General features: G+C 34.9%; 1 protein-coding gene across 11 annotated transcripts in view, besides 2 other annotated features; it reads left to right on the plus strand.

The window, feature by feature from the left end:
- The window catches only part of EPHA6 (EPH receptor A6), a 946,939-nt gene that overhangs the window by 307,787 nt on the left and 626,440 nt on the right, over positions 1-12,712 (plus strand). The window lies entirely within an intron of this gene.
- Positions 3,325-4,047: an enhancer, noted in NCBI's record as "OCT4-NANOG hESC enhancer chr3:96844549-96845271 (GRCh37/hg19 assembly coordinates)". NCBI's record gives its function as "activates a minimal SCP1, AML or CMV promoter by ChIP-STARR-seq in primed H9 embryonic stem cells {active_cell/tissue: H9 hESC(primed)}" and the evidence as "EXISTENCE:reporter gene assay evidence [ECO:0000049][PMID:30033119]".
- Positions 3,505-3,799: a silencer, noted in NCBI's record as "tiled region #866; K562 Repressive non-DNase unmatched - State 24:Quies". NCBI's record gives its function as "represses a minimal TATA promoter and a strong SV40 promoter by Sharpr-MPRA in K562 cells {active_cell/tissue: K562}" and the evidence as "EXISTENCE:reporter gene assay evidence [ECO:0000049][PMID:27701403]".

Raw genomic sequence — 12,712 nt, forward strand, 5'->3', positions numbered from 1 at the left:
TTTAAGATATGAGATTGTTTTAATGGATCTCAGAATCACCTGTTATACATCATGTTGGTTTGGTAAGCATGGAAATCTATTGATTTTATATGTTCCATTTTTCTACTGAGTAGATAATCCTTATATAAATCAAAATGTATTTTAATAGAAAGAAAAAAACACTACAAATATCTCTGGGCCAATAAAGTTCTCTTGGTATCAGGGAACTTGAGTGATTCATTCCAAGCTTGTACGTATTTCATTGCTGAATACTTACCAATGATAAAAAGCTGAAAGATTACAAAAGATTGTATCATCCAGATAGAGAATGTGTTTTTGTCACCAAGAGCCTTATAAGTTACTTCTGAAGAGTGTTAATTGTATAGAATTCTTTATATACAAGCCAGTGAACATAGAAAATCCATAACCTAATTATATGATTAAAATATCAAATATAAACATGTATGTGTATAAAATATATGTATGATATGTTGATAAGGCAAATCCTGCTGTTTTATGAAAAATAAAAGAGGTCATGAGGTTATTTAATGTTGGAGTGTTTGAAAAAATATTTATAATAACACTGTTTTGTTTAGATCTCTTTGTATACAAAGCTTGTCCTTATGCATATGCTGATTTCTTCTCAGAATATTATTTTATCTGATTTATATATAGTTATAACCTTTGCTGTTTTTAGGTTTATCAAAGAGAATACTAATATATGTGATTTTCATTTCATCACTTATCCAAAGGTAAATGAAAATCACAAATTAGGTACAATCTACAATATTTTTGTCAGTTTAAAAATGTAAAATAATAGCACATGTAGTGGTACTATTATTCGTGTTAAACTTGAGTTGCACTGAAGCATTATTTTCTTTAAAAATTCAGTAATGTATTTAAAAATATACACGTGCTGCCACAATATATTTCCATGGTTAATTATTCATGTATACGATAGCCTAGTTTCTCGCCTTTTTTGTTCATTGTATATTCATACTACAAGTAAGGATTTTTCTGCCTTAAGCAGCAGTCCAGTTTGGGCTGTGTAATACTAGGATTATTGGCATCGACATCTGTCTTTCCCTTAAATTTAGGGAATTTAAGCCAATAAGCTACTCCCGTAGAAATTTGAAATTAGGAGCATAGAAACTTTGGCAATACATGTGTGGGTCCTGGAAATGTTAAATCATGTAGAGGTGGAGCTGGAACAGCCATTTTCATGAAAGCATGTAAATGTTAAGTTAATAGAGAAAATAGTCATCAAAGAGAATCAAAAGGATAGTTTGAATTCATAGAGAGAAAGGGTCAATAGACCGTTGTGGATTAGAGAAACAATCGTACTGAAATCAGTTTGTTTCACTTCACAGAAACCAATTGCTAAATTTTCAGGAAGTTTTGCATCTGGGGTGGCTTCAAGTGGACAAGTGATTTGAAATCAGCCATAGTGATGTACTTCTGCCATAGAACTTATGCTCCAAATCAGGGCTTCCTGTTCCTGAGAGTTGTTAAACGTTTAGCTGCATACATTGTCACAGAGAGGGAGAGACAGAGAGAGAGAGAGAGAGAGATCTCCTGAGTAGTTTATCTGATCCTTGATAGCTTCCCAGTTCCCAGCTCTAAATCCATGAGAACCAGCAATGCTTTATTTCTATGGAATGCATTTGTATCCTGTTAATAAACCAACATTTATGTTCTGCTCATTTAGTTCCCATAAAAAATTAATTGCTACATTTCTAATCAATATAATTGGAAGCAAGGAAACAGGATGGTAACTTATATTCATGTGAAATGCCTTATATGTATATGCTGAAGTCTGTTTCTTTTTTGACCCCATATAGTTTAGAATCAATCCCAAATAACATTTAATGCCAACTATGTTGACTCCATAGCAAGACATCTTTTTCCAGATGCGTTTCAGTATTAATCTGATCATCACCGAGAGGAAACTTAGGGAGGAATAAAGACAATAAATTCAGTATCTTAAAAGATATTTGAGTATTTTATTAAGGATTTTGCATTTTTAAATATAGAGTTGTGATCAATTTTGGCCATCACAGGCATACAGAAAAGTTTGCCCTGAATGATTAGAGAGGCATTCTGTTTAAAAAAAGAAAGAAAGAAAGAAAGAAAGAAAGAAAGAGAAAGAAAGATGTTAACCTGGATTATCTTTCTCAATTTTTTCCTAGTCTTGCTTTCACCACTTCCTCTAATATCTTTTAGATTAGAGCGAGGTTAGTAAATACCTTGTCACAAATTACCTTAAACAGACTCACTGGTGGATGTTATTTTGAGGAGAGGCCACCACTCTTCCTTGTGTCTATCCCATCCCAACCTCAGCAGAGCTTCTAGATATAGAAAAATGCAAAATTCAGTCATTCTGAGACAGTCCCACTCATCTTGGCAAGACAAATGCAGAAATGTGTGCTCTACCCTAAGAGTTACTAAGGCCTAGTAACACCCACAGGGGATGCTTCTGCCTGTCATTGTTGACCTCAGAAATTTTAAGGTTAGGTATCAAATGCCAGCAAGGGGCATGAGCAGTTCCAGATCTATCTTTTGACTTGCTGGAAGCATAATTACTAAAATACAGTGACTGGCCCACTTTTTTAAGGCCTCACAAATTTTAATTGGGAGCACCTTGACCCCCAAGTACAAAAGGAAGGATTTCACCTCATAGGAAAAAGTCAAGCAATATTACTTAGAGAAATGCAGGATATCATAAAGGACTCTTACAAACATATGTGCCTTTGGGCTATCAGATTTAAAGACAGAAGAAACTAATGCCCTGCTTGTTTTGTGTTATTTAGGAAATGCCACCAGAAGGGACCATTATTTTCCTCTTTGAACTAAATGTCTTAAGCTGTTTCAGGACAAGCATTAACCTTTAGCTAAGAAAGAATTTATTTAGGATATATATTGAAACACACTTCTATTGATTGTTTCTGGCATATTGCATTAAGTACAGAATATTTCTATAGAAGCAGCTCACTCAGTTCAACAAGGTTATTTTTTTCCAGTTATGCTAATAGGAAATTTAAATATTCTACTACCATATGAATAGATAGGAATATTTCTATAAAATTTAAGATCACATCTGTTATCACTATACATATTTTGGATTTCTTTTTCCCTTGAATGCAAGAATAAGTGCAGATATTTATTGAGAGGAAACATGGAGCTGTTTGATTTGTCTCTGGCTTGTTAACAATTAAAGCAGATTATTTTTTGGTATCTTAATTTTTCTAAATATAGAATATAGTTACCAGGTTATTCTCTCCTTCTTCCAAGAGAAATTGAAAAATGACTAAAAATTCTTTATTATTATGTGGATAAATAAATGATTTAAATAAAATAAATATTTTCAGACAATAGTACTCAAACGTGTTTAATTATCAGTTAAATTACAGGTTGCTGACTAAATAGCCCAGGAGATAGTCTTAAACACACACAACACTCCTCTTTCACTGAATTTCAAACCTAGTTTTAAATGCTTTCAGATTGTTTTAGAGTATTCTTTTTATTGTAATAAGGACATAAGTAAAGACCATTGATGTAGTTTGTCTTTGTAGAAGACTGAGAAATGACTTCGATCAGAGGCACACATCCCACTGTGCTTTGGTTTAGTGAATAGATTACAAAATGAGACTTATTCAAGATCAAATGGCAAGGAGGCGAGTATTCAAGTCTGTGATTACAAGACAAAAGCCTATCTTGATGCAGGTATGCGATTTCCTACTACTTTAGAAGGCATTTTTTTAGCCTTCACAGTATTGCTGGGCTCTTAAACATTTGGAAAGTTACTGCAGTTTCTTTCCTTGACCTAGGCTTGGGACTTACTGATTTAGACATACTGGCCATATTAACAAGTTGTTACCCCCACCTGATTCTAATGGCCAGGGGATTGTAGTTCTCTTGTCTCAGAATCCACAACATGCACTGGCAGCTTGGAGCACAGCCCAGGAAAGCTAACTCCAGGTGTAAGGCTTCAGCCTGCATTCTCCCAGTGCAGAAGAAAACAGTAATTTTCCCACTTTTCTGAACAGCAGTTTCAATCCAAAAAGCACGATGAAAAAGTAAAATTTATCCAAGACTGCTTTATTCTTGGCATTTAGCACAAATGACAATATAACTCCACAAAACTACTTCCAAATAATTACATGAAGAAGCATAGTAAGAAACAATTTATTAACATGTCACTACTAGTTTTCTCCTAGGAATTTAGATATGCCACACCAAAAGATGACAAATTAATTCCCATTACACTAAACTTCTACTAGGTTCTTATGAATGTTACATTTGTTCTCCTTTGTACTCTGCACTAAGGAATGATGGAAACTTAGAGCCTTCACCTGTGTTAAAAAAAAAAAAGATTTGAAGTAATAATACAGGAGAACCAAATTAAATCCATTTGAACTAAAACTAGCATATTAATTCAGTTCTGCAGATGTTTAAATGTCAATATTAGTTTATTAAAAACCACTACAGTAAGAGCATAAAGAAGATGGACCAATGGAAGGAGGCAAAGGGAGAAGGTGAAAAAAAAAAAAAAGAACACTTAGATCTAATTGAGAAACGAAAGAAAAAATTAAAACTGAAGAACACAATAACAAGGAAAAAGACTGCAGGGTAGGGAGAAATAACTTTTTCTCACCCATCCTAGATTCATGGCTGAGGTCCCTAGAACAAAAAACAGATTAACAAGAGAAAAACATACAAATTCATTTAATAAGTTTTACATGACACAAAAGCCTTCTTAAGGAAATGAAGACCCAAGTAATAGTTAAACTTGTGTATTTTTAAGGTAGGTTTGCTAAGAGTGGACAGCAGTCAGGGAGAAATGTAATTGTACAAAGGGATATGATCTAATGGTAATAAACTGGGAGGGAACTTTGCAAGACCTGCTTTGCTCTGTATTTCTGTGTCTTCACTGATAAGGATGTTCCTTTCCTCCAGGTATAGGGTGGGCACCTCTCAAATGAAGCTCTTATCTTCTTCAAGGGATGATTAGGAAATTCGTCCTAGGTTTTATGACCTGCTTCATGGGAGAAGGGCTGGGGCAAGAGAATGAACTTCCCGGCTGGGCACTGTGGCTCACACCTGTAATCTCATCACTTTGGGAGGCCAAGGCGGGCAGATCATCTGAGGTTAGGAGTTCCGAGACCAGCCCGGCCAACATGGTGAAACCCCGTCTCTACTAAAAATACAAAAATTAGCTGGGCGCAGTGGTGCATGCCTGTAGTTCCAGCTGCTGAGGAGACTGACAAGGGAGACTCCTTTGAACCTGAGAGGCAGAGGTGAGCCGAGATTGCGCCACTGCACTGCAGCCTGGGCGACAGAGCCAGACCCTGTCTCAAAAAAAAAAAAAAAAAGAATGAACTTCCTGCTTCTCCTGTTTTCTCAAATTCTTTAGCTTCCAGCGTGTCATATTTGGACATAGTGTATCCTGAATCCCATCAGGACCATTCTATGGTGATCTGGATGAAAGCTGTGAAATTCAATATTCTTTAGTTTTTTTTTTTATTTTACTAGCTTTAGGAGTACATAGATTTTTAGTTACATAGATGTACAGACATGAAGTCTGAGATTTTAGTGCACCCATCACCTGAGTAGTGTGCCCTGTACCCAGTAGTCATCTTTCATCCCCCTCTTAACCTCCCCACTTCTGAGTCTCCGGTGTCCATTATACCACTCTATATGTCTTTGCATACCCATAGCTCAGCTCCTACTTACAAGTGAGAGCATGCAGTATTTGGTTTTTGATTCCTGAGTTACTTCACTTAAAATAATGCTCTCCAGTACCACCCAAGTTGCTGCAAAAGGCATGATTTTATTCTTTTTTGTGGCTGAGTAGAATTCTATGGTATATATGTATCATATTTTCTTTATTCATCAGTTGATGGGCAATTAGACTGAATCCATATGTTTGCACTTGTAAATTATGTTGTTATAAACATGCATGCCAGTGTCTTTTTGACATTGTGACTTCTTTTCCTTTGGGTAGGTACCAGTAATGGGATTGCTGGGTCAAATGTTGGATCTACTTTTAGCTTTTCATCTGCTCTTAGGCCTAGCTGTTGGATTATAATACTTGATATCTAGCTTTGGGGCATAGAAGCATTCTAAACTCTAGACACTGAAAAATGTACATTTTGGGGGATTTTTTTTGGAGACAGTGTCTCACTCTGTTGCCCTGATGACTATGCAGGAGTGCAGTAGCATGATCTCGGCTCACTGCAACCTCTACCTCCTGGGTTCGATTCTCATGTGTCAACCTCTTAAGTAGCTGGAACCGCAGGCACAGAGCCACCACGCCTGGCTAATTTTGGTATTTTTAGTAGAGACAGGGTTTTGCTATGTATGTTAGCCAGGCTAGTCTCAAACTCCTGGCCTCAAGTGATCTGCCCACCTTGGCCTCCCAAAGTGGTAGGATTACAGGCCACTGCCGGTGCCTGACCCCATTTTTAGGTATTTTTACACTTTTCTTTCTTCTACTACCTGAATTTTTATGTCTTTTTTTTTTTTTTTTTTTGAGACAAGGTCTCCCTTTGTCACCCAGGCTGAAGTGCAGTGGTGCAACCTCAGCTCTCTGCATCCCCTGCCTCCTAGACTCTAGTGATCCTCCCACCTCAGCCTCCCAAATAGCTGGGACTACAGGTGTGCACCACCACACCCAGCTTATTTATATATTTTTTTGTAGAGATGGGATTTCATCATGTCGTCCAGGCTGGTTTAGAACTGCCCATCTTGGCCTCTGAAAGTGCTGGGATTATAGGAGTGAGCCACCGTACTCATTAGAATCACCTGTCTATAGTAACACAGACATCACTTCCTTTGTGTAAAAAGGTACAGTGGTGGGGCCAGGTGCAGTGGCTCATGCCTGTAATCCCAGCACTTTGGGAGGCGGAGGTGGGCAGATCACGAGATCAGGAGATCGAGACCATCCTGGCTAACACGGTGAAACCCTGTCTCTACCAAGAACACACAAAAAAATTAGCCAGGCGTGGTGGAGGGTGCCTGTAGTCCCAGCTACTCAGGAGGCTGAGGCAGGAGAATGGTGTGAACCCAGGAGGCAGAGCTTGCAGTGAGCCGAGATCGTGCCACTGCTCTCCAGCCTGGGCGACAGACTTCGTCTCAAAAAACAAAAACAAAAACAAACAAAAAAAAAAACAACAAAAAAAAGTACAGTGGTAAATTCGGTGTTAATTATATGCATTACTGTTAAAAACAATTTTTTCTGACACTTCTTAAAACAGTAAGGCACTTTATTCAGGATTATAGTAATAGGTGAAGGAATACTGCAGTGGAGTTTTGCAGTAGTAGAGAGAGACTGGGCTCAAGTCTGTAAATAAGAAATAAGGGAATTCATAGGCAAGGAGCAGCAGGGTTGGGGAGTTGGTACATGTAAAATTGCTGATCAAGTAGAGTAATTCTTGCTGAACTGACCTATCAGGATTTCCACAGAAGGCAGGTCAGGGTGATCAGACATTACCTGAGAGATAGTGAGAGATGAGGGATTTGGTCAGATATTGAAGACTATCAGATATTGAGGGTGGGGCATTCTGGCTAAACTGATACAGCATTCTTGCTACATTTGGGTTCTTGAGAAAATGCCCTAGTGGAGCTCAAGGAGATTAACTAGAGTTAGGTCAAGGAATAGTCTTTGTCAGTACAAACTAAAATGGAACTTCAAGGTCTCTCATATGATCAAAATAAATATTATTAAGTATCTGTCAAAGTGCATTTTGTTGATAAAATTATTTCTCTTTTTCTCGGGTGGTGGTAGTGACAGTACATGGAACTATTACTCATTTCTGATAACAACTTTTGATATTTTCTCTCTTGGATTATGCACATGTCTACAGTATTCTGGGTACCCTTCCTACATTCTCTTACCATCTCGGGGTTGTTTTTTTCTCTTTTTCTTCATTTTTTCTCTAGTTACCATCTGTCAAACTGGATATCTGTCAAACTGGATTTCTCAATTCTTCTACATATGGTAGTTAAATCCAATTTGCTTTTATTGTAAATTGGTTTGGTCATAATTCAGGTTTAATCCAGTTTTTATAGGATCATGTTAATGATTTTGTTTTTTAATATCTATGTTCTATTTAATTATACAAATATTTCTAGTTGACACATTTTATGACTGTCCTGAATGCTATTTTTGTCATTTTTCTGCACCTGTTAAAATATATCCATTTCCTTAAACAGACTTTACAACCTGAATTACAAAATTTCCACTTATACACATCCTAATTTGTTTCCTAACCTATTGATACATCTTTCCAGTTAGACAAGTTATTTAGCTATTCTCCTGCCAATATGCATATTAATTCATCTGACATTAGGGGAATATTAAGGAATGTAGACTTGAATAATTTGATTACATAAAACTTCTAACAAGACTATGCCTATTCTAGGCTATGGGTACTTTCCTAGATCTGTTAAAAGTGAAAAGTATTTCACTTATTCTACCGTGATTCACCCTTATTATAAACAAACCATATCCTAGTGAGAAGAGCTAAATTTGTATTTTGGATGATATGTTCGTGAAGAAATTATTATAATTATTGTATTGTAACCACTTCTGTGCCATTTAATTGACACAAAGTGATCTTTAATCATTCAGCAGTTAATTCTTTCATTATTCCATCAGGAAAAATCAATAGCACAGTTGATTTATATCTGTAGAAACTCTGATACTACAGTGGCAGATTAAAATTGTCATAGCAGAGAAGAAAAAGAACTCGTATTTAGAAAAGGAAAATTATCTAAATTAATTCCACAAGTGCATGCTTTGCTTAATTTTTAGATATATAATGTAAAATATACAGAAGTCTACATTATATGAATGTATACAGTGGTATGTATGGAGATTTTCAAAATATAAATGGTAGTAATATATGCATGGGTTCATATAGAAATAAATGGATAGATGATAGAAGATAGAGAGATAGATACTTAATACACCCTTGTCAATATCCCCCAAAGTACTGTATAAAAAATAGGAACAGATCAAGGTGTACTTACAATATTCCTTAGTCATAATAATGGTTAAATTGAACTATAGCAGTAACAAATGTAAAACAATTGTAATAGGAGTTATTTGGTGCCAGATTTGTTAGTAAAAGAATAAACAAGTAAGTATGAGGTATTGGAAAAATCTGTGAATTTTTATTGTATTTATTTCTTGCATAATATTTATCACAGAGTTACTTCATTCTTCCAAGAAAGGATAATTATGTACACATGACCTTATTTACAAGTGGATGGCTAAAAATGACCCAGATGCCTTGTGTATTATCTAGGCAATCTGCCAGGAAGTTGGCCACAGCAGAGAGGATCAGAAAGTTCCCACTCAGTCCAGACATGTAGAGTAATAAACATTTTCATCTTGCTGTACTGTTATTGCTACAAATAATAAGCTAGAAAATTTAGATCTTGATCAAAGTGTTTGGATGTCTATACGTTATTATACAGGTTGTATGTTAGCAAGTCAGCCATAGCAGGCAAACAACCTTATACGGTTTCAATCATAACCTAAATGACCTGCCATGTTAAAAGCAAAACCAAACTAAATATAGTGTGTCTTCCACTAAGGATGAAGAAAACAGATTAGGTAAATTTAAAGTGTATAAACTTGTAAATTGTATATATGGCACTAGAATGATGTAATATTACCCATGTGTGAAAAACCTGTGAATATCATTATACTATTCAAAGAAGCCAGCCCTCAAGTTAGTTTGATAATAAAAACAACAAATATGTACATATGTATTGTAAAATTACAGCATTCAGACCCTTTGCTTTACAGAGCACTTATCTAGTTTAAAATCAATGCATATATTTATTAATTCATAAAGCAGGTATTTAATGAGCACTTGCAACGTGTCAGGGACTGTTTCAAGGTCTTGTAGACACATACCGTACTTTCCAAGAGAGGCGCTCAGGGTTGATTAAAGTGTTGAATATCAAATGTTATTTTTAAAGTTCTTTTCATATTTGAATTATTTGATATGGGTGGAATCCTAACTTACGGGAGGTGAAAAACTGTAAAATCATTCATTCAACTTAGTCTTTTTAAATATCTCACTCTACTCCTCTATTAAGAAGTCCTGTGTTAGTAAAGTAGATGGCTCCTTACGTGATGATATTTAAGGAGTTATTGACATGTTTTCTTGCTCTTAGCTGTTTTCCAGATGCTTGTGTTCCTGCCTGAAAGGATATTATGAAAAAATGTCCTCTAACATCACAGCACACCTTTCAGGGCTTAACACATTAAGCTATTACCAGTTTTATTTTACAATCCTAAAATATTAATTTATCTAATTACTTTACTCAATTGAGAATACAAAGCTGAACAAAGGGACAATTATAGAATATTCCACATCCCCTAAAAAGTGTGGCTCTGAGTAGAAGAATATTGTCCTGTAGTAAAGTAGAATGTAGGCAACCAAAGTAAATTTACAAAAACTAATCGAAGTATGCATTCACCCAGGGCTAAGCTTGCTACTAAATTCGTTGTATATAAATTAATAAAATAGAGAAAACAGTATTTGCCTTTGAGGATATTGAACTCTAGCCACTCAAGGTAACGTTTTACTCTCCTGTTACAGCATAACAGTGCTAAAAAATGTCGTATGCATATATACAATTTTAAAAAAGAATTTTAAATGAGTCCATAAATGACAGAATGGAAAGTAAAGGATAACTGGTGTTCTTAAGAGCTTCCAGAAGTTGGTAAAGGTTGAGAATTTTCCGATGAGATAGTAGACGTAGATCATAGGCACATGACATCCTATGAGAGTGAGCAGCCAGAGTCATATGACTGAAATAGGCAGACAAAGTAGGAAAGTGATGTATGTTTGGCCTGAAATACTGGGTTAAGCCATCTATATTTGGTGCAGTCAATGTTTGACAAAAATAGTTGCTCAAAGCTTAAGCAACAAGGTTTTTTAAGATATGTAAATCAATTAAAAACCATTGAAATTGAAAGAGTAAGTTGATGTAAAAGACTTATAGCCAGATTTTTCAAATGTATTTTGTTCACATATGCTTTGTCTTCTGTTTTCCTACAAAAAAAATCAGAATTTTCAATAAATATTTATTAGAAAAATGTACAGTTGACACAAACATTTAGAATGACTCTAGAGGCTATAAAAGCTTACTTTCAAGTGCTAAGAGGCAGAGTTAAAATTATCATAAAATATCCCTATGTCTAATGCTAACATGCAAACATAAAGTTACAATGTATTTTGTAAACTATATCTGAATATATAGACCAGGAAATCAGAAATATCCTTCTTGATGTTTTCTATTCTGGAATGGCATAAAGGTGCTCCCTTTTGTAACTTGTATTAAAATATTTGTGTTAATAATTGATATGTTAACAGTACAAAATGATGAGAATATCATATGAATCCCTATACCACCTAGGAGATCAAAGAAGTCAAAAGTGTCTTCTTCAGTAATTAGTTTAATTTGTTCTCAATAGGGAATTCTAAATTTTATCCTTTTAAGTTTATCAACATAATTCAAGCTGTTGATTGCATAGTAGATTAATGATATGAGTATGATATATAAAATTCTATTAGCAGCTCAGAGGGTGATTTTAGAAAAGTAAACATATTGGAACTAAAGGAAATTGTTTTTGCCACTGTTTGTTTTCATGAAATTTTAAAAAAAAGAGCCTACATAAATGTAACATGCTGCAAAATATGACTATAGAGTCAGAGGTCAGTTAAAAACAAATGAAGAGATTTGATGTAAAGTTTATATTTCATATGCGTTTTATTTAGTATCCAAATGAGATTCTCCCACTTAATAAAATATCAACATATGAAAATAGCAACTCTTTCAATATACTATTTCTGAAGCTATATATTTAGATTGCTTCTTTCATTTATTTTTAGTATAATTGTTTTTGAAACTTTAATAAGGCAAATTAGTAGTTCCTAGTTCTAGATAAATGTGAGAATCATACAGGGAGCCTTTAAAAAGTACTGATATCTATGACCCACACTCAAGAGATTTGGAAGTAATTGATTTTATAAGTGTTTTGGCTACTGGTGTATGTGCAAATCTGCCCAAGTGATCCTTGAGTGCAATCAGGGTTGAGAACAATTGAGAGAAATCAAGAGTCATCGATTCTGAAATATGAGACAGTACTTTCAAGATCTTCATGTTGGATTTGATTTTGAAGAACTAACCAAGTAAAATCATGATTATTAAAATAATTCCCCTAAATAATACTATTATGCTTATGCTTTGTTATTAAAGATGGAAGAAGCAGTAACTATATCTCATTAGAGAAAAAACTAGTGCATTGTAAGAAAAATGCATCATTATGATTTTTTAATTTTCAAATTTACAGATTAAAAAAATCAATGAGTAGAATACTACCAAAATGAATGACAACAGAAATTTCAAATAATTGCATGGAACAAATTATTATGGCCCTTAGAAGAATAGATGCGAGATATGACAACTTGTGAAGAAGTTTGTCTAGGTGTGGTGTCAACTTCTAATCTTCTGTCCTCTGATAAGGGTCAATCTTCCCTGGTTGATGAAACTCCCCAGGTTGGGATTTAATGACAATTGAGTTCCTTTCAGAGGATCTGTCTTTAGGCAGATAAGAGGAATTCAGAGAAAGCCTCTCCCTGCGTTTGCTGTTTTTCAGGTACTTTCACCTCAGAATAATCAGTATACCAAAGTGGCATATTGAGATGGC

This window comes from Homo sapiens, chromosome 3 (genome assembly GCF_000001405.40).
Source record: "Homo sapiens chromosome 3, GRCh38.p14 Primary Assembly".
NCBI lineage: Eukaryota > Metazoa > Chordata > Mammalia > Primates > Hominidae > Homo > Homo sapiens.